At 44.7% G+C, this 23119-nt stretch overlaps 1 protein-coding gene across 5 annotated transcripts in view; it reads right to left on the bottom strand.

Moving 5' to 3' along the window:
- The window catches only part of SIRPB1 (signal regulatory protein beta 1), a 58625-nt gene that overhangs the window by 31445 nt on the left and 4061 nt on the right, over positions 1-23119 (bottom strand). Inside the window, exons 2-6 of one of the 5 annotated variants that reach the window (NM_001329157.2) lie at positions 18528-18884; positions 11913-12230; positions 10981-11313; positions 5993-6107; positions 4511-5354 (exon numbers count right to left, since the gene is read on the bottom strand). The exons of 2 other annotated variants lie outside the window; for them this stretch is intronic. In NM_001329157.2, the coding sequence (NP_001316086.1) occupies positions 5995-6107; positions 10981-11313; positions 11913-12230; positions 18528-18884 (1121 nt within the window). In that variant the 3' untranslated portion in view covers positions 4511-5354; positions 5993-5994. Of the gene's footprint in view, positions 1-4510; positions 5454-5992; positions 6108-6297; positions 10379-10980; positions 11314-11912; positions 12231-18527; positions 18885-23119 lie in introns of those variants that run through there. 2 more of the 5 variants (NM_001135844.4, XR_007067441.1) reach the window with 2 other exon arrangements.

Below are 23119 nucleotides of genomic sequence, written 5' to 3' on the forward strand. Positions count from 1 at the left end.
TGCACAAGGTCATGTAATATCAGTATATCCCAAATTAACCAAAGTGTGTTTATTGATATATGTAATGAAGGCCTTTGCTATTTGATCCATAGAACATAGTATGTTCTTAGTCTATTTCAAAGCTCTATGTGTTTACATATTATTTCTGTAGATTATTTTCAGAAGCAAGTTTTGTTTCCACAGTATGAGTGAGCACGTTGGCTAATGTGTAAGTTAGAAATAATTGATAATTTTTAATATGTACTTCATGGTAAAATTTCTTAGACATACATAAATGAGTAAAAACGAAATTTAGGGAATTGGTATTAGTTTCTAAAGTTTTGTTTATTTTCATTTGTAAGAAGTCATTTACTTAAGGTCCAATTATTATAAATGAATTATCATAGTTTATGTTTAAGGAATACCCAGAAATTGTGCTGTTCTACTTATTTTATAAGAGGATAGCCAGATTTTACTTTGGAGCCTCCTGGAGCTCTTCAATGCTCTTTGGCCTAATGATATCTATCTTTTATTACTAAAAACGCATTATTTTTATGTTTTAATGAGAATAATCATTTACATACTTCACATAATGGGTAAAGACATTTTGTTTTATGAATCTATATTTTTTCTTACTATAATGAGAATGTTATAGATTATGCATTTGTATTAATGGCATTTCTTAAAGCAGTAGATTTAATTATAAACTAAAGCAACCTAGAAACTACTGTAGGTATCTGTAAATTGTGTTGTAGGTACTATAGACTTAGTGGAGTCTCTTAATCAGATTATGTTGTGAATACATTTGTACATTATTAAAATATATTTCAAGATGTTTTGCTGATTTTAATAGGTGTCTTTATTGGAGTGATAACTTTAAAGGTACAAAACTTTATATTTGTATAAGAGTCTACTGTTTACGAAGGAAAAAGGAAAAAAAACCCAGAAATATTAATATCTAAAGATTTATAATTTAAGGTAAAACATACCAGTGGTTGAAAGAGGAATATTTCCTTCCATGAAAATAGCAATTGGCTTGGAAGGTGTGAGACATAAAGTTTCATGCCTCCAAAAATCATAGTTTGGAATACAGGACTCCAAAATTGATGCAATAGGCCAGGTGCGGTGGCTCACACTTGTAACCCCAACATTTTGGGAGGCTGAGGCAGGTGGATCACCTGAGGTCAGGAGTTCAAGATCAGCCTGACCAACATGGAGAAACCGTGGCTCTACTAAAAATACAAAATTAGCCAGGTGTGGTGGCGAGTGCCTGTAATCCCAGCTACTCGGGGGCTGAGGCAGGAGAGTCACTTGAACCCGGGAGGTGGAGGTTGCAGTGAGCTGAGATTGCGCCATTGCACTCCAGCCTGGGCAACAAGAGCGAAACTCCGTCTCAAAAAAACAAACAAACAAACAAAAAATTATTTTAACTGATGCAATAGTGTCAGGAAGATGGCAGGATCCGTGCTTGGAGCAGCAAGTTGCCTTCCCAAGGAAGGAACTGTCAAGGAGTTCTCAAGGAACTCCAATCCTTCAATGAAGATATGCTAGATGCATAGATGCTTATTCAAGTAAAAAATTTTTGTAGAAATCACGTGCAGAATTCATTTTCAACTTTAGATTGACTTGGTGCAACATGGATAAAATTGGAATATTTGAAAGAACGGGGAGCCTGGAAGTCCATGAGCTAAAACTCCCCCCTTCATCTACCATATTTCGCCCCCACTCACGACATTAGATGCAGATGACGAGGGAAGACTTTGGGACACATGAGGAACTGGGAGCCCATGGATGCCTCTCCAGAAGACTAAAGATTAGGCCTGTGGGCTTAGGATTAAAACTTCCTAGTCTGAAATCAAGCTCTACCAGCTCCCAAGTGTGTGACCCTGGGGACACTATTAACTTCTCTGTTTCTTGAGTTTCCTCAACTGTAAAATGGACATAATAATCACACCAACCTCATAAGATTGTTATGGGAATTAAATGAACTGATATATGCAAAGTGCCTAATAGTATCTGACTGTATCCTCAAACCTAGATATTCAGTTTTACTATTATTATTATACATATTAGCTAGACATTATTGTTGTTAGGTAGAATTTTAGTAATAGCAACAATTTTAAAAAACAGATCCTCTGCCCTCAAGGATTTATGATGTTATGTGACAACCTCGGCCAATGTCTGGGGGAGGTGGGGGTACCATGGTGATGAGCTGAGGTCATGTGCTTAGCCCTAGAATCATGGGTGCTGAGATCATGTGCTCAGCACCAAGGTCATGGTGCAGCCATGGCCTCTGGGGAGAATCACTATGACTAGGGCAAGGTGCATCCTAATTAGGGTCTACACAGATGCTCATAGAAAAAGTGCTCCAAATCTTGCCTCATGCTGGGATAGGAGACAAGAAAATGCTCCCAAGTGGAAATCCAGAGGAACAGGAGAGATGGACTGAGAGGGAGAGGAGACATCACATAGAAATACACCTGTATAGAGCAGGCTGCACACAACTGTGAGTCCTATGAGCAGAGAAGGTGGCAGGGCCTGTCCAGGTGAGCTGGGACACAGGGCTGGGGATATCTGTCTGAATGACTCTCATGAAGAGACCTCAGACTCTATGCTCTGCAGGGGAGGAGAAGCCCCACCTTGCCATGATGTCCCAGGAGGGAAGTTGCTGTGGGAGGAAGGGGCCATGAGACTGGGGCCATCTTCCATTGTGAAAGAGGAAGTGGACACAGTTGCCACTGCTAGGAAGTTGCTGACGTCTGTGCTTGGGGTTCCCAGACCTGGGAGCCTTGGACAGTACTGGAGAGAGGTTGACTGACATAGAGCCTGCTCTATGTCCCAGAGACTCTTACCTCATGCCAGGGGTCCCATGACCCTTCCTAATTTGAGAGTTCAGACCTATAGGGTTCTGTAGCCAAGGATTGAGCTTGCAGCTTCAGAGACCATAATTCCAGGTGTGGCACATTTGAGGGCTTGTGGCTACAGAAGCCTTTGGGGGTGGAACCAAATCTCCTGGGTGACCCCTACAAGAAGTCTCTCAAACCAACACCAACTAACAAGCTGAGCAAATCAAAAAACAACAACTGCTCTTAGATCTGTCGGAGAAATGAGGTCATAGGGCAAAATTAGAGAGACAGCAGGGTGATATGGAGAATTACAACTTCCTGAATTAGAAACCTCCATGGGAAAGAGTGCTGGGGTCAGAAAACCTGCACCATGAATGGTGAATTGCTATAAGTTCAGTGAGGACCAGTCTGAGCTAAAAACTCAGGAGGACCCAGTCATGGGAACTCCCACACTTCTGTGAATTTTACCTACAGCAGCTTGATTGGTCCTCATAGTGGGTATGAGAGAAATATTCAGTAGTGCTTCCTGAAGAGGAAGGAGAAAGGGGACCATTTCAAATTATACCAGAGTGTTCTCATCATCTTATGCTTGTTCCATATCAGAAATATACAAGAAGACAAGCACTGTTCCAACTATCCTTGCTATGTTTTACAAAGAAATAATAATTTAATCCTCAATGTTTCTAATCCTTTGAATTACCATAAACTAAATATTTTTCCCTTCTGTCCACATTTGCAACTGATAATATTATATTTTCTAATATTTTGACAAAAATTATGAGGACCACAGAGTAGTCATTATATTCCCCTTTGGATGTAGAGTTGCTTTCCAGGGTTTCAGTATTTTCACAGTCGTTTTTGTAATCTTGCACTACCATGCAAAGTGAGGACTGCCCTGTATTTAGTATAATATATGTAGTAATATAATACAGTGCTAAGGAGAAAAGCTAATCAAATTAAGAGACATTGGAATGCTAGGGTGGAGAGGAAAATGGATATTTTACATAGGGAGGTTTACATAAGTTGCCTTTAATAAACTGAAGGACAGAAGAGTGAGCCACGCAGCTGTTGCGGGGAAGAAGCCGAGGAATGACAGGATTTGACTTTTCCAAAAAATAACTGAGGCTGGAAAAATGCAATCCATCAGAGGCTCTATAAGCGGTCCAGGAGGAGATGATGCTAGCTGGGACCATGGAGGAGTGGTGGAGGTGAGAGATGTGCAGGTTATGAGTACAACTCCTTTGTGTGCCGGAGCAGGCTTGGACTGGCTCAGGAGAACCAACTGTTAAATTTTCAGGAATTGTGTATTCTAGTTGTTAAAGTGTTAGAAGCTTGAAATGGGCCATGTTGGGGATATTCACCCCATAGAAATTGACAAACACTACAATTCAGCCTTCTGTTTTCTTTCAAACATTTACCATCTATCTCACCAGGGGACATAAGCATTTTGAAGCAGAACTGAATATGAGATATAAACAAAGAAGAAATCAAGAAGGACTTCACAGCTTTAGGGCTGTCACAGTATTTTTACCATGAGCAACAGAGTTGGGAAGGTTGCAGGATGATAGAAAAACTAGTGTTTCCATCACAGAGAGAGGAGGGAGAGATGCTTTCTTTCTAGGTGTGAGGAGTAGGACACTGTCTTAGTCCATGTATGTTGCTATAAAAGAATACATGAGGCTGGGTAATTTATAAAGAGAGGTTTATTTGGCTTTTGGTTCTGCAGACTGTACAAGAAGCATGGTACTTGCATCTGCTGCTGAGGGCCTCAGAGTGCTTCTGCTCACAGTGGACAGTGAAGTGGAGTTGGCATAACATGGGGAGAGAGGAAGAGAAAAAGAGAAGAGGGAGCTGCTAGGCACTTTTAAACAATCAGATCTTGTGGGTGCTAATAGACCAAGATAACACCAAGTCATTCATGATGAATCCATCCCCATGACCCAAACACCTCCCACCTGACCCCACCTCCAACATAGGGGATGAAATTTCACATTGAGATTTGTAGGGAAAAAATATCCAAATTATATCATACGTATAAACAAAGAGGAAGGATAATCATTTTTCTCCTTAAAACCAGGATGAGTGTTAATTTGTATTCAGGAGGCAATAGAGAATCTCAACAAGGCTGGGTAATTGGGTAGGCAGGAATCCAGAAGGCAGAATAACTCTTGAGAATCTGGACTGCAGTTTGTGGCTTACGGAGAGTCCAAGACGATGGAGGAGAGGTGTCCTGATGTGTTTAGATTTGGCGTGTTTCCCACATCCTAGGGAGGTGTCATGAGTCACTCCCCAGAGCCCCATCCCATGGCCTCTGCTCAGGACCATGAATGAAGACTGCTCTGGAGAATCAAGGACTCTGCAAAGGAGCAACAGGAGCCTGTGGGCAGGAAGATGTCCTGGGAGGGGAGGTGTTTGGAGCTCAGTCTGGGGAAGCTTCTCACCAGCCCCTTCTCTCAGTCAGAGCCATTCAAGGAAGGAAGTAGGCAGGAGAGACTGGGGGTTCCATGTGGCAGGGGAGGAGGGAAGGAGCTGTGGGTAACATGTCCATATTTAATCATCTGCTCATCATTTAAGAAACATTTCCTGGGAGGCTGTTGTATTCCTGGTGCTGGTCTCCTTCTGGGATGCCTGTTGCAAGTGGAGAGGCAGCCCTGAGATAGGACTCTGCTGGCTCAGCCCTCCTCCTGAGTCTTGATGCCTCTCTCCTCATTGCTTCCACTCAGGCACACAGAGGGTCAGAATGGGTACAGCCCTAAGAGCTGCCCATCTGTGGTTTCTCAACATGACTTGACAGTGAGGATTCTTTTGGGCCCATGGAGATCAGCATCAAATAATCTAGAGATGGCCTGCAAGGGACCACCCACTCAGTAGCCCCTGATGCATGCTCCTCTTCTCACCTCCTCATGCGACCCCTTGGGTGCTGTAAAAACCTTTAAACACCCTGGCTATAGCTCACCTCCTCAAGCACTCACACACTTCCTGGGGTTGGGAGACTCTTAGAGTCCTGACTCTTAGAGACCCTGAGAGTCCTGAGGATGCTGAGGGAGCTCTGTCACCTTCTCTAAACTCCACTGACCCTGATGCTGCATGATATGTGGGCTGGGCCCTCCTCCTGGCCCTGCCCTTTTGGAGCAGCCCTTGGTCAGGCATCCATCCCCCACACTTACAGTCAGGCCTTCTGCTTCCAGTAGACATAGATGACAGAGACACCAACCACCAGCAGCACCTTGGGGCCCAGGAGGAAAGCTATGAGAAGTGGAGCAGCAGAAGCCAGTGCTGGGCCTGGAAATCAGGAGACAGGAGAAGTTAGGAAGGGGCTACCCAGGATGCCATCCCAGAGGCCCCCACTTACCCCACCTGAGGCTACCTGGGACCATCAATGCTCCAAAGCTTTTGAAACTGCATCTTACCCTGGCTACCCTAGCTCCAACCCAAGGCAGAAGCCAGGGAAAGAGGTTCCTCATTCCCTTACCCTGTCCCAGGCTGCCAGGTTGTCCTCCCGGAGGGACGAAGTGGAGAGAATGTGTACTCATGCATTCATGTGTGGCACCTGAGTCCCTCACTTGATCCTCACAAGCCTGTAGGGCAGGGATTATTATTCCATTCTGATGGGGAAATTGAGGCTCAGAGAATTTAGGGAGGGTCACAAGGTTGCTCGCATCCAAACTTAGGGAAGCCCATCATTATGTCCCTTAGGATGATTCCTGAGACTGCGTCCTTTTGAACAAGACAAGTCCAATTTCCCAGGGTCATAGGAAGAATTACAAAAGGGAAAGTAGGTGTCATGAGTATAACTGAGTACCCCCAGTTTGCTAAAAAACAGTTTATTTTCTTTGTTTTCTTTCCCCTTTCCCCCTGCTCCCAGTTTCCTACTTAGCCCTTCAGAAATGCAAATATAACCTTTCACCTCCCCCTCACCAGACATTCCCTGCAGGGCAAGTTCTTCTGTATACTCCAAGACAGATCTCTCCTGGAGAGCTGGCACACCAAAGCATACCCACCATAGAAACTTCACCTCCAGGGGTAGCCTCCAGACTTTCATCCACCAGGAGGGCATATGGAAAGCATGCCCCCTTGGCCACGTTTGCAACTTACTTCTGCTCAGGATGACGCCACCTCAACTGTCAGGTAGCTAAGTCACCAGGCTAGTAGAGGGACCCCTGCCCTTGTTCCCATCCCCATTACCTTATAAAAGTGTCTGCTTTCTTCTCCAAAGGGGAAGCAGCACATTTGAAAGCAGGACACGTTGTGTCCCTTCCCCAACCTAGCTTTGGAATAAATTCACTTTTTTTTGTATCAGACCTCGCGCTCCTTGATTGGATTCTACATGCAGCAAGCAACTAACATGCTTTTTGGTTATATGAAGATGGCTTCAGAGTGAGAGAGTTGCAGGCTGCTCTGTTTAGCCCCAGTGGTGAGGGTTGACCCCATGTTCTTGAGAGCTGGGGAGGCCCTTGAGGGGCTGGGCCTAATGTACTGTGGTGGATAGAAAACACCCTGGCATGACTGTCATGCTTGGGAGGGACTCAGACATCAAGCTCACATCAACCCCAGAGCAGGTGCCATCTGAAATCTCTCTGTTGGACACACAGTCAGATCTGGGGAAGCACACATTTGGATTCTTTGCATTTTTACAATGAGCATTTTTTTGCTGTTAAAAGCAAACAAATGAAGATATGTTTACTTCTGTTTTCATGTACGTTTTCTGGGAAATAAAATGGTGCTGATGGGTCCTTAAGGAAGGAATGGAGATCTCAGCATATGTGGCTGGAAGGTTGGAGGCCGGCAGTTCTCAGCTGGGGGGCTCTCTAGGACTTTGTCTCCCCTGAGGAGAGCTGCACTCTCCAAGTGCACTCCTCCTTCTAGGGGGCAGCCCATAGAAAGATTGGCTGAATTGAAAATAGGAAGGCCACGCCTCTCTACTCAATTAGCAGAACTCTAAGGGACTCTCTCAGCCCTTGGCTTCTCTGCAGAATCAGCTGGGTCTTTGTCCTGCCTGCACTGTGGCTCAGCACGTCCCTCTCCTACACTTCTGCCTCACTCCCTCAGGCATATTGACCCTGACAGCACTCTAGCATGCTTCCTGAACTCCTGTATCCACCTCCAGTTGGCCTCCTAGCAAAATTGACAGTGGAAATGGTCTGAAAAGCAGACTCTAAAATGCAAGTTTGGAAACTGACCACTCATCAAGATCAGCTGGCAATGAGGACCCCAGGGCTGGTAGTGAATGGAGCTGGGCAGGCCCTGGCTTGCAGCTATGGTGCAATTAATAAAACTTTCACTGTCAGTGAAGCGGGAAGGAAATTCCTTGGCATCAGGCATTTGAAACCGGATTGGGAAATGATAGTTATGAGGACTAACGTGTTTGATGGCTGTTGCTGGGCATCAATTCTTTGGGGAAAGACGATGAGAAGCTAAGAGTAACTTATCATGAATTAAGGCTCGGTGTAAAAACCAGAGGACTTCTTGGCAGCAGTGTAGATTGTTATCTCCTGGAGCCAGAGGGCAGAAAGAATAGAAGATTGGGTTCCAGAACATTATAAGAGTAGCAGAACCACAGAGATGGATGAATCTCAGCTTCAATGGGCTGCTATGCTGGGCTAGGGCCCTGATGGGGAAGTTGTGGGACCCTGAGATGTGGGAGGGAATGTTTGGGTCAAAGCACTTACAGATCATCAGCCATCTTCTGAGTTTCTGGGGACAGTTGCAGCAGCATAACTAATTATCTCTATAACTAACCTCCCCAAACCAAAAGAAGAAACAAAAAAGGAAAAGTAAATTTTGCACAAACCTGACTCTGAGTATCACTTGGACAAAGAATGCCAAACTGCAAAATGACTGTGGGTCAAAAGAGAACCTTCACCACACCCTAGTGCACAATCTCACTAGGCTGCCACGCTGCTGGTGCAGTATGTCACATAAGGCATCTTGCATGTTGTGTACCAGCCTAGACAACCTAAAACGCATTTCCTGCCATAGCACATGAGCAAGGATGCTACATCCAGCACACTGAAAGCACCCAAAAATGGCAGCCCTGGTCGGAGCTCTAGTGAGTGGATGGAAGTCTAAAAAGCAAATTCAGCTTCAGATAGATGGTGCAGATTCATCTCTTCCGGCTCCTCCTTGAGAAGTACAACTAAGAACTCTGGAAATATGAGGAGCAGGCATAGGAGAACTTCCAAGGTGAAAAAGGAAGGCAGACTGGCTAGGGATCTGAGGACTGAGGAACAGCCGTGAGGCCAGGCACCTGGGACCCACCCCCACAATATGAGCTCCCAGCCATAGAACATGACAAAAAAAATGACACAGAAAAGAGAAAAAGTCTGTATTCAATAATATAAATCCCCACTTCAAGAAACTACAAGAAGTAGAGCAAAATAAACCCGAAGCAAGCTGCAGATAGGAATTAATAAAAAAGAGAAGAGAGCAGAAAATTAATGAAATTAAAATATAAAAAACAATGCAAAAACCAACTGAAGCAGCTGATCCTTTGAAAGGATCAATAAAATGGGAAAAAATTATAGCAAGTCTGATGATGAAGAAAAAAGAAATGGCACATTTTAAATATCAGGATGAAGCGAGGGCTATCACTACAGACCCTGCAGACATCAAAAGGATCATAAGGGATATTATGAACAACTCTACACACAGAAATATGACGACATAGATAAAATGGACCAAAAACTCTTTGAAAAGCACAAGTTGCCAGATCTCACCCAATATGAAATGAATAATGTGAATAGCCCTAAACTATTGAGGAAAGTGAATTCATAATTTTAAAGTACCCCAAAATATTCTTGAGGTACAGATATTTCATAGAAAAATACTACCAAACATTTACAGATAAATTAATACCAAATCTGGTGCACAGAAAAACGTTTACAAAAGAAATTTGGGGAAATTTGAATGTATGCTCCATTTTAGGTGATGTGAGATAATTATTTTAACAATTTTATGAAATTTAATGGTATAAAATTTTAAATTTTATGAAGTTTATAATGATATTGTTTTTGTAAAAAATGTCCTCTATTATCAGATCACCCAATTGCGGACTCCTCTTGCAACTGCGTGGGCGCATAACTGGGTGAGCAGTGGATGTGACGATGCACTTTCCATACATCTCTGATTATAGGGGACATTGTTGTCCTCCACTTCCTGTCTTCACTCTTCCAGCAGACAAATCAGCGACCCAGCACTGACCCAGTAGATAAAGCCAACGCCGTAGAGTCTGTGGCTGGGCCTTCTAAAAGTCTTCTGGAATAGACACCCCTCCTGGTATTATATGAGAGGGAAATAAGATATATTTTGGTCATAGATGGGGGAACACTGGCCAAATTGACATCCTTGGGACGATGCCCAGCAGAAAGAGACGTTTCTCAAATTAGCATAAATTTGCATTATAGGCTGGTAGTGACCCTGTCCTCAGGACCTCAGACTTACCTTAATTAGTTTGGGCCAGTCATCTGGTCTAATGCCTTGATCTAATTGTCTTCAACAATATCCCCCATTGCTTCCCAAGTCCTGGTTTCCCCTTCTGTAAAACTCCAGACTCACTGGATGGTTGAAGCAGGAAAGGAGATCATAGATGAACAGAAACTTGCACATAATAAATCTGCAGAGAGCCATTGTGATTATTATTGGTCAAATATCACCATCGGGACCCAAAGGAGGCCCTTGCTTTGACCACTCATGGTCACCTGGGGGCGTGGTCCAGGCTTAAACTCCACATGTCTTTCTGAAATTCACACAGCAGATGCAGGAGTCTGCAGGGGGCAGGTCACAGATATGAATGGAAAAGTTTAGGAAGGAACAGACAAGGCAGAGGTCAGAAGGAGTAGGAAGGAGACAGGGTGGCTGATGAGAAACGGGAATGTAACAACTGTCAGGGGTAAAAAGCAAGATGCAGAACGTGAGGAACACATGATCCCCTTGCCTCCTTTCTTCCTCATTCAGCACACATTTATGTCAAAAAATCTGTCAGGTTGTACCTCAAACTTTTAATAGTGATGACTCTTGGAGGGTGAGATTTGGGAGAATGATGCTGACTTTAAAATTCTACTTTATACTTATAGACTTCTAGCTTATTTTATGACAAACATAAATAATTTTAACATGAAAGAAAAAGATAAAATTTAAAAATTTGAAGTAACCTTACCAGGAGCAGTATTTGAGCCCTGCTCCTTCGGGTGGGCTGAGACCTTCAGGTCATGGCTTTTGCTGACCGCTGGCTGCCCGTCATGCTCCACCTGGCAGGTGAGCTTCACATCATCCCTGTGGGCAGATACATTCACCAGGAGCCAGCTCATCCAGTTGTAGGTACCATCCTTGTTTTCTGTAAGGGTTGAGGCCGTTTCTGTCCTGGACACGTTTCCATTCTCCAACCAGGTCAGCTGTAGTCTCTGGGGGTAGAACTTCCTCACCTGGCAGGTGACATTCACCTGGTTCTCTGCCCTCACGGGCTGTTGAGTAACCTCCAAGGTGGGTGGAACTGAAACAGCACAGGGCAGAAGCTCTGACCTTGTGGCACAGACAGATCCAGGGAGGGCTCCATAACGTAGCTCCCCCACCACGGTGAGGGCATCACCAGGACAGTGCTAGGCATGCAGCAGGTGCTCAGACATTGAGGGTGCTCTTTGCATATGAATGAAATTACTAAGCACAACGCCCAGCACACAGTAGGTGCTCAAGGACTGGTAGCTCCTACTAGGCTAAGAATGAGGGAAATCTATAAGCACCACCCCTGGCATGCAGTTGGAATGCTGTAACTGTAGCAAAATAAAGAAAATCACCAAGCACATAGAGGCTTAGCTCATAGTAGGTACTCATTAACTGTGTTTGCTATCAGTGAAATAAATGAAACGGCTAGCACAGTCCTTGGCACCTGGTGGGTGGTGTGGTCACCCAGCCACTGCCATTAAAATGTTAGTAAGTGGCTGGCACATCTAGGGGCATGGGAGGTGGGCAGTTAGGAATTTAGGTTCCAGGCATTTCAAGCCCTGGAGCAAGAGTAGAGCTGGATGAGTGGAGGGTGGTGGGGGGTGGGCTTGGTGGTCAGGTGTGGGCTTGGGCTGGGTGAGGGTCCTCTACCTCGGATGGTCTCAGACAAGTTGGCAGTCCCACGAAGAGGGTCCCCCTGCAAGGTGACGTGGGCCACCTCGCAGATGACTTGAGAGTGAACGTCCTCGCGGGTCAGCACCACCTTGGCTGTGCTGTGGATGCTGTAGGACACACTGTCTCCTGCGGGGTCCACGTTGGTCTGGAAGTCTGAGAGCTCATTCCCATTTTTGAACCATTTCAGGGTGATGTCTCTGGGTGAGAAGCCGTGGGACTCGCAGGTGAAGCTCACTGTGTGCTGAGGTGTGGCCCTCGCCGCAGGGCCCGATACCACGGGGGCAGAGGGTTTGGCTACAAAAGGACCATCGATAATCAGGAGACATGACTCAGATGACAATCACTAACGATAAGTGTGTGAGATGTTAAGAACCTTCTGAGACATTATTTTTTATCCTTCCAATAATGTGGAAAGATTAATGAGGGTGGTGTCCTTATTGTCATTTTACAGAGCAGGATGCAAAGGTTGGGAGAGGTGAGGACCCATGTGAGGTGAGACAGTGTAGGGGCAGGGCCCAGAGGGAAGTCCAGGCCTGAGTTCAAAGTCCTCTCCACACAGGGAGACTTCCACCAATCTGGGCATAGGAACAAAATTACTGATTGGTCTCCCTCCATGTTATTAACTGGTCCTAGCTGTCCTCCCCCGGAAGGCTCACTAACCTCAGAGAGGGCATTTATAGAAGCCAATACAGGGATCAATGGCAAAGTGGCACCACCGTGAGAGCTGCAACCAGGCTGCTCAGCCCAGGACAGGGGTGGGCTGACACCCCCAGCTCCTCATCCGCAAAACAGGAGGACGGAGGACGGCGTTTCTACTTCCTGGGATGTCGCCAGGATTCAATGGGGCAATGGAAGCAGTTTTGCTCTGGATCAAACACAGAAGATGCTTCCCCGAAAAAACACAGATCTATCTTTAACCCAGACTTTACAGATACACAGAGGTCTCTCTTTAGGTATTATAAAAATATGAAACATTCCGTATTTTTCTTTTCACAAATATTTCGTTCTGTCAAATAAAAGGCATTAATTAAGGATAAAGCTTTAACGTAGAGCCAAGAGTTTGTAAGAGCATTGGAATCACACCTGCTAGAGGTCAAGCCACAGGATGTTGCAGTAGATAGACCTGGATAACAACTGAAGCCAGGGTCCGTGGGATTTTGATCTCTTTCACCTGGAGTACTTTAATGAAATAACCAATGAGAGTGGGTTTGCAGTTGAGGATTTTCAACCAGCTAATGAACTGTTTCCAAAAACAACCTTTAGTGAAAATCCCCTATAAAAAACCGGTCCTGTATTGCCATACGGGACACTATTCAGGGTTTCACTGACTCAGTGTACCCAAATTGCACCTCTTTATCTTTCAGATAAATGCTATTTCCTTTGGCCTTCCTAACAATCATTTTGCTGTTGTTGTTAGTTGTTCTAATCTGCTGGAAGTCCTAAATTTGAAAAGAGGAAATTTTTGGGAATCTGAATCTTCAGTTAGGACAGGTTTGGGTGAAAAACAAGGATCACTGAGTACTAAGAAAGCCAAAGGTGGTTAGCTTTTTCATCGTTAATTAATTACAAGAGACAAAGACCCAGGCCACACCAACAGACAGAAACCTATTCTGGGCCTTGAAAGCAAACACATTGGAGAATCAGAACAACGAGTGCAGTTTCTCCATGTAGATGAATTTTAAGGGTGTCTGCAAATTGCTAATTGTTACCTTGAACCTTCTGCCGTCCTCTTAGAAAGCACATATTATACGTTTGACTTTGCCAATATTAACTTGCTCCCTGATATGCGTGAAATAATGTGAGAGCACAGTAAGGAGGGTGTCACTTGAAGATGTCAAGTCTTTGAGACACCAGCAGCATGGGTGTCCCTAGAAGGCTGAGAGGCTGTCTTCAGTTCCGATTTTTTGAGGGCTTCTTGGCAGCCTGATGCTGGCTGCTCTCTCTGTACCTCTCAACACTTCAATCCTCCCTCTATTTGTCAGAGGGGGTCCTCATGTGAGCCCTTGTGTAGGGCGAGACTCTGAGAGGATCCTTGGTGGCCAAGGGCCAAAAGTAGATAGAAACCCCACCCTGGGAAGATGAGTGAGGGTAAGTGCAAGGGCATAGCCTGGCATGTAGTAGGTGCTTAATAAATAGCCCCTGTGACTGTAATCATGAGGTTTGGTCATTACTGCTTCTGGAGCTGCATAGCTATTCTTTAGGCAACAGAACAAAGAGGCACACAAACACCAAGGAAAGGCTCAAACCCTACTCACCGCAGCTGCCAGAAAAAACCCAAATGATAAAAGGAGCAGCAACCACCATGTTTGGCGAACTGGCTTTCAAGTAAGATCACAGGGGAAGCTGGAAGCATTTTGGAAGAAGGAGGGAAAAGATACCTCAGTGACATCTGGGAGTGCTGAGGGAGGGAGGCTTCTGGGGCTGAGGAGTGAGGATTTGCTGGGACTCCAGCACGTGTTTAGATACAAATGTTTTCAAGACAGAAGGTTCCCCAGCCCTGAGGCTGCATCTGAGCCAGGCTTTGTCCCAGTCTCCTATCTTGGGCCCTGAGGCCAGTAGCATGGGAGGGGTCCTGTTCAGGCTTCTGGGGCCTCCCAGAATGTTTCCAGAATGGCTGTTTTGAAGCACCCATGACCCAAAAAGCTGTTCTCAAAGCCCCAAAACCTGGGGCACCGCTTTTGCTAGGGGGCTGTGTATGAGAATCTTCTGGAGCCATTAAGAACTTTAGATATCCAGGCCCAAATTAGATGCAATTAAATTGGCATTTTAGGGGGGTTCCTGGGTCCAGCTTTGCAAACTTTTTTTTTGATAGTTTTCCCAATGATTCTAATGAGCAGCCAAGGTTGAAAGCCACTGGACTCCAACCCAAACCCCATTTATACTTGGGGCCTACAGAAGCCCTGACCTGTCTGAGGTCACACAGCTTCACCCTAACACAACTCACCTTTATTGAGCATTTACTGTGTGCTTGTTGATGCCCTAAGCATTTTACACAATATCACTCCTTCAGACTCGGCCCAGTCTGTGAGGTCAGTGTTACCATCAAAGGGTGAGGACATCGAGGCCTATGGTGGTGAAGCACCTTGTCCCAGGTCACAGAGCCAGGAAGTGGCAGAGCCGGGAAGAGGCCCAGGCAGCTGGGATACTGCCTGTGTTCTCCTAACGACAGTTCTGCAGAAGCTCAGTAATAACCTGAATGACACCACCATTAGGGGCTCTGTGCACATCCTCTCCAATCCTCACAGAACCCAGAATAGGCCATGATAATCAGCATCTCACCGATGGGGAAACCGAGGACTCAAGGGAAGGCAAGACTGGCCCAAGATCACACGATCTTGAAATAACACCTCACTTTGGGGGTGCCTACAGTGCGCTAGGTGATTTACAGAGAGAACCTTACGCTTACGACTTTCCTAAAGGAGTCCATGATTGTCTCTATTCTACAGATGAAGATGCCGTGGCTGAACAAAATGAAGGCACTGTCTCCCGATTCTCCATGTGTCCCAGTGGGCATTTCCTGTGTCCCACCAAGCACTTATGTCCATTAACAGAGCAAGTGTTCTAACTTCTTGAGCTCCAACACTGACTGCCACCTCAATTGTCCCTTTGAGATTCTAGACTTCATGCAATGTTAGGGAGAAGCCTCCCTCCTGGGTGCCCAGGCCTGGTTACCCTGCAGCCATAAGCAAAAGACAGTGGGCTCCTGACAGCCGGAGGGGAGAATCTCAACTCTTGCTCACATGGGCCCCAAACACTCTCTAGGAAATGCCTCATCTCCTCATCCTTAGTCCTCAGCACCATGAACGGGCAGATACGTGCTCTGCTGGGCTGCAGGAGGCTCGACTCTGCTCATTGGACGCTGCTGAGTGAAGAGGAAACAACACAACATGGGGGAAGAGTCCTAAATGCCTCATGTGTGTTGAGACCTGTCCTTTAGGAACCGGCTTGGCATATCATGAGACACGCGCAGGGCCTTTCTGATGGGAGTGTGAAGACAGGCCCTCCTACCCCTACAGGGTTCTTGTTTTGTTTTTAATGCTTTTTGCTGTAGAACTGAACAATGCAAGAGTTTAGAAAGAGAAGGTTGGAGCATTTCTCCACTCTTGAAAAACCACAGTTGAGTGTCACAAAGACAAAGGCTGTGAGTCAGGCTGCGGGGTTCCAGCCTTGGCTCCCTGACCTGCTCCCAAGTCAGGTCTCCTCTCTGAGCTTCAGTGTCCTCATCTTTAAAGGAGGTAGCAAATGGCTTCTCCCTCATAGCACTGGTTATAAGGAGACTCTGGCACAGTTGCTGCTCTCTGGCCCCCTTCCCCACCTCCCTCCTTTCTCATGTAGCTCATCATTTAGGCCGAGAGCATGGCAAAGAGGAGTGAGTACTTCACTAGGAGTGAGCAGATCTGAGTCACACCTGAGCCACCACTGGCTGTGACTGCCTGGGCTGGGGAGGCACCACCTGGGCATTTCAGTGTCTTTGCCAATATTATCTGCACAATCAGGAAAAAGCCACCTTCCTTGTCTAAGTTCAAGGGTTGTGGGGAGCTGATTTCAGTCATTACTGGGCAATGTACATTTTCATATACATACATGTACATGAAAGCATCATGTTTTACGCTTTACATATACACATTTTTTTAAAAAGCTGTTAGTAAAGCTATGTGTCTTCTGGAGATTCCGTTTTTTGCCTTTCCAAATTCCAGAGGCTGCCCACATTCCTTTCTCACAGTTACATCTTCCCATCACTCTAACCTCTTGCTTGCACCCTCACAAATCCTTCTCTAAGAATTAATCTCCTTCCTCCTTCTTGTAAGGACCTTTCTTATGTATTGTGTCCACCCCGATGCTAGAGGCAGATGTTAAAACCACTGTATTAAAAATGTTTGAAGTGGGGCTGGGCACGGTGGCTTATGCCTGTAATCTGAGCACTCTGGGAGGCTAAAGTGGGTGGATCACCTGAGGTTGAGAGTTTGAGACCAGCCTGAGCAACAAGGAGAAACCCTGTCTCTACAAAATACAAAATTAGCCAGGCGTGGTGGCCTATGCCTGTAATCTCTGATTGCTACATCATCTAGGAGGGAAATCAGGCAATATTCTCAAATATGAAAACACACTATCCTGTGACCTAGGAACGCCACTTCCAGTGGGTGTCTCCCGCCTGAGTAGGGTGACACATGTACAAGGTCATCCATTGCATGATTGCTTTAGTAGCTAAGGTTGGGAATAACTTACATATCCATCAACAGAAGACTGTAAAATAAATTTTGATATTTCCATAGATTGGAGTATTTTTCAGCTGTAAACACACTGGAGCAGCTCTCTATGTCCTGACGTGGAATCTCGATATGGAATGACAGGGCTTACATTTGGGAGAAGTTTTCCAATCACAAACAAGCTTTAGTATCTGAATGTGAGGTGCATTCTTAACATTTGGGAAACTGATGAAAAGAGAAATGCTGGCTCTCTGACACCTGGCTCTGTTTGAGGAGCTTTTATCTAGCACCTATGATGCACCAGGCTCTTCTATGGAGACAGCGTCTAACGCTGGGGAAGGAAGGAGACTGCCACGATTCAGATATGGACTCTGGCTCCAATTCTGCCACTAACTGGCCCTGTGACCATGGACAAGGCCCCTGTCATGTCTTGGCTTCAGTCTCCCATCTGTAAAGGGGGTTGGGCTGGATGGTCTGAAGGTCCTTCCTGTGCTGACATTCCATAATTCAGGACTTAGGACGAAGCTCTTGGGCCTCTGGGAGGAAACCCCAGATAAGCATTGTTGCAGCCTTATATGGGAAACCCCTAAGTCACCCACTTGTGGGACCTCTTTCCTGAGGTGAGGGACATTCTGAGATGATGCAGCTCTGCTCGGAGCCCATGGTAACTGTGTGACTCAGTCCCCAAATCGCAGAAGGGTTTCCCAAATAGACCCACAGCAAATGCCAAACGTATTGGCATCTCCTCCCACCAGGCCATCAGATTCAACAGTGAATGTGCCTCCCAGAAATCTTGCCCGTGGGGTGTTTCTGAGGATGAAATAAAGAAAAACACAATTTACCCTCTTCATGAGCTGGACAGATTTCTCCTCATTAGAAGGGAAGAGAATGTAAGCTTGGTGGGGAAGAGCTTTGGGCTGTTTCATTCACTGCTGTTTGCACAGCATCTAGGGCAGAGCCTGGCACACAGTGGGGTCTCAGTGAGTGCCTGCTGCATAAAGAAGAGACTTGGCCACCCTGAGGGGGAAGCGTTCTCTGGAGGCAGAAGGCAAGGTCCAGCCCTGTGCCTGGGCAAGTCACTCAAATTGTCAGTTCCCTCATCTGTGGAACCAAAGGGCTGGATCAGCTTTGGAAACACAAGAGCTGTAGAGCCGCAAGCTGGGGATGCCTTCTGTCCCATCATTTCCAAGCCGTGGAGCCTCGAGCGACTGCCATGACATCTCCAAGCCTCAACTCATGTGATCTGGAGAAGGGGTGACATCAGTTCATGAAAGGGTGGCTGCTCAGCCACCACCACACCTGACTGTTGCTCTAAGAATGGATAATGTAATTATTGAGTTATTGTCACACACTAGGGGATGAAGGAAGCCCACGCTGTACTCACCACGCACAGACAGCTCGGTGCCTGCTCCAGACTTAAACTCCACGTGGTCGGGGCTCCCTTTCCGGAACTTCACACAGTAGTAGGTGCCGGCATCTGCTGGGGTGATGTTACTGATGCGGATGGAAAAGTCCATGTTGTTTCTCTTTGTGAGGTCTGAAACAGTTGTTACCCGTGGGAAGTGGCCTTCTTTCTGATTGTAGATTAATTCCCGGCCTGGTCCAGCTCCTCTGAACCACTGGATGGGCCCCACAGGGATCAGGGAAGTCACAGTGCAGTGCAGAGTGGCCGACTCTCCAGCTGCAACTGATATGGACTTGTCAGGCTGAATCACCTGCAGCTCTTCCTCGCCAGCTACCCCTGGAAAGGAGCACAAAGCAGTCATTTTTTCATCCTTACGTGATCCTCTGTGTTTCCTCAAGTGTTTATCAATGGCTTTCATTGACCGGGTGCACACCAGGAAAAGGCCTTGAGCTCAGCACACTACACGTATTATCTCATTTAACCCTCACAACTGGCCTGTGACATAAGACTGTAATACAAGCGAGGACACTGAGGCACAGAGAGGTTCAATTTCTGTTTCCTTACTTTCTTTTGTTCTTTCTGTTTGCTTTTTTTCTTTTCTTTTCTTTTTGTTTTTCTTTTTCTTTTTTTTAAGACAGGGTCTTGCTCTGTCTGCTGCCCAGGCCGGAGTGCAGTGGTACAATCACAGCTCACTCTAGCCTCAACCTCCCAGGCTCAAGTGATCCTTTCTCCTTGGCCTCCCAAGTAGCTGGGACCACAGGTGCGTTCCACCATACCTGGCCAATTTTTGTGTTTTTTGTAGACACACAGTTTCACCATGTTGCCCAGACTGGTGTCTACCTCTTGGGCTCAAGCAATGCATCTGCCTTGGCCTTCCAAACTGCTGGGATTACAGACGTGAGCCACCATGCCTGGCCAAGAGGTTCAATTTCAATGTAGAGCTTTGGGTTGAGGACCTGAGTAGAACTCTTGAGCCCTCCTTGGAAGTGCCATGTTTTGCTAAATATGTGCCTCCACTCTGTGGCTACATGGAGTGTTGCACTTTTTGCATCAATGGATTGGGTGGGGCCGTGTGACTTCTTTAGACCCTTGAGTTACGAGCAGAAGTGATGGGTATAATTTGTGGGCTGTGCATGTAACTGCAAGAGCCTCTGTGGATCAATTTCTCCCTTCCTGAGACCCACAAGGCTCTAATGGGGCCTGCTCCATTGCCTGGATGCGTGAATGACCGTTGCATGCAGAACTGCCAATCCACACTGAATATGTAGCTTCCAGTAGAAATACAACATTGTTTTAAGCCCCTTGTAATATTTCACCCATAGCATAAACACATTACATAAGTTTCCTAATGCTGATGTGACAAATTACCAAAACTTAGTGTCTTAAAACAAATGTAACATTTTATAGTTCTGGGGGTTAGAAGTCCAAAATAGTGTTACTGGGGTACAATGAAGAAGAAATGAAGAACGTCAAATACACAAAGATAGAGAATAAAACAGTGGTGACTAGGGGTGAACTTAGGGGAGGTGATGGGGAGGTCAAAAGGTATAAAATTGCAGTAAGTCTGACGAAGAAGTCCAGAGATTGAATGTGCAATCTGAGGATTCTAGTTAATAATGTTGTATTGAATTCTGTATTTTTGCTTAAAAAGCACATTTTAGGTGCTGTTGACATACAACACATGCAGCATAACTATGGGAGATGATGGATGTGTCCATTTGCTTAACTTTAATAATCATTTCACTACGTATATGTATATGTGTACGTATATGAAAGCATCATGTTTTACACCTTCAATTTCCACAATTTTTAAAGAGCTTTCAGCAGAGCTATGTGTCTTCTGGAGGCTCTGTTTTTTGCCTTTTCAAATTCTAGAGTTTTCTCACATTCCTTTCTCACAGTTACATCTTCCCACCACTCTAACCTCTTGCATCTTCACATGCAAACATCCTGGAATACAGGGATGTTTCAACGTCATTCTCCAAGAATTAATCTCCTTCCTCCTTCTTATAAGCACACTTGTGATGTATTAGCTCCACCCTGATACTAGACCCAGATATTAAAATCACTGCCTTAAAAATGCTGAGAGGTAAAGGAAATAACGGACCAAGAACTAAAGGAATATAAATGTCTTAACAAAATGAGAATGTAAAGAAAGAGAAATTATAGGAAGAAATCAAACAGAAACTTAGGAATTGAAAGTACAATAACTAAAAGTTCACTAGAGGGGTCCCCCAGTGGGTATAAGCAGGTGGAAGAATAATCAGAAAACTGGAAGATGGTATAATTGAAATTATTGAGACTGAGGTATTGGTGGAAAATAGAATAAAGTATAGAGCACAGAATCTAAGGGAATTGTGAGACGTTATCAAATGTATCAACATACACCTTACTGGAGTTCCAGGGGGAAAAAAGAGAAAGAGAGAAAGGAATAGAAGATTATTTGAAGACATAGTGGACAAAAACCTTCACAGACTAGATAAAATACAGGAATCTACCTATTAAGACACAGAAGAAATGCAAGTTGAACTCAAAAATAAACTCAGAGACCCACACTAAGACACATTATAACCCAACTGTTGAAAACTAAAGTCAAAGAGAGAATCCTTAAAGCAGCAAGACAGAAGTGATTCCTTACATAAAAGAGACCCTCAATAAGATTTTCAGCTCAGCTCTTATACAAAGCACTGAAGGCCAGAAGATAGAGGGATGGTAAGTTCAAAATGTTGAAAGAGGAAAAATATGTCAATCATGAATTCTATACCTGGCAAAGTGTCCTTCAAATACAAGGGAGAAATTACGATATTCTCAGATAAACAAAAGCTAACAGAGTTCATGACCATTAAACCTTGCCTACAAGAAATGCTAAAGGGAGTGCTTCAGGTGGAAATGAAAGGATGCTACATGGCAACTCAAAGTTGTATGAAGAAATAAAGATATCCAGTTATGTGTACATGTTTTAAAAATCATGCTTCAATATCCCACAAACAAGCTGTGAGCACCCTGCCCAGGTGACCAGGTAACCAGTATTTTAAAGCTGGTCCCTGCCACAATTCCTCTTCTTGTCCTCCTCTACTGTGACCTAGTGACATTGAAACACCCTAGTAAAACCCATCATGGTTTTTGCTTGTGTCCTCCACCTTGACTCCCAGTAAAGGCACTTGCCCAGGGATCCCATCTCTCTTGCCTACCCATCTGCTTGATTGAGCCTGCTCCTTGGGAGCTCCTCCCACATGGCTTCCTGCATGGCCTGCCCTACTTCCTTCTCTAGGAACTGTGAGTATGCCTCTTCATATGAACTTTTCATGGCCATGTTAGAGTGATCCTCAAAATTCAACCAGCAGGAATCACTCTAACATTTTCAATAGTAATGGCAATGAGGATGGGATCATTCTAAACTCAGGTGGAAAGTTCCTAGGGAATGCCTTTGACTCATGACTTACTGATTTGCTACTCTGATTGGCTCCACAATTTGAGAAGGCTTTTCACCCTGATGACTTTCTTGTGCTATGCTATGTACAGCTTTGTGTTGCCTTTTGGAGTGCTGCCATGGCTCTCCATCCTGAAGCGAGGATCCTGTTCCAATATCAATAATGACATCTGCCTTTCTTCAAGAGCACAAGATGATATAACATTGGTAACACCTCTTCAAAGAAGATTCATGTGATATGCATATTAATGTCACATAATCCAGCATCAGTAAGTTTTTTCTGGGGTGCTTGTGGCAACATATTCTTCATTTACAAATTTTACTTACAAATTAAAATCAACAGGCCCTCCTGTTAGTGTCTTTAAATGAATTAACAAATAAAAGTATCTCTTCTCTGTAGAGACTTTGGCTGTGTCTTTCATGCCTCTTGGAGTCTCTAAACCACTCATGATGGCCAGACATTTTCCCCAGGGCCTTTGATGCAAATATAATGCCCCTCTCAGCTTTTGCTATACTCCATTACAACAAGAAATTTCTGGTTATCTATTGGGCTCTCCTGGCTTAGAGTCCAGATCTGGGGAGCATACTTTCCTGTCGTACTCTTTAACCATAAATTGTCCCAAAGCCAGACTCTGCTTATCTGAAATGGAGCCCACTGGAATCTAAACTTCCATGAAAATACAAAACTAAGATCACTGCCAGGTAGAGCTGCACACCTTTCTGTTAACAGTTGGCATTATTATTACTCGGTTTGTTGATGCAATAATCCTCAACCAAACACTAGCTGAGTTCAGCAGCATATTAGAAGGAATATACACAATGAGCAAGTGGTATTTATTCCTGGAACACAAGAATGTTTCAATATACAAATGACAAAGAATGTAATACACCATATTTATAGAAGAAAGAGAAGAAACACATGATTATCTCATTTGATGCAAAACAGCATTTGAGAAATGTGGACATCTTTTTGTGAAAATACCATCAATAATAGGAATATATGAAAATTTCTATAAGATAAAAGTTATATACACATACCTTATTTTATTTTCCCTTATCAGTGGCTAATTTATGATTTTATTTACCTATTTATCATGTATATTGATTACTGTCATTATTATGACTTTATTGAAAAAAGAAA

The sequence above is a fragment of the Homo sapiens genome, chromosome 20 (assembly GCF_000001405.40).
Source record: "Homo sapiens chromosome 20, GRCh38.p14 Primary Assembly".
Taxonomy (NCBI): Eukaryota; Metazoa; Chordata; class Mammalia; order Primates; family Hominidae; genus Homo; species Homo sapiens.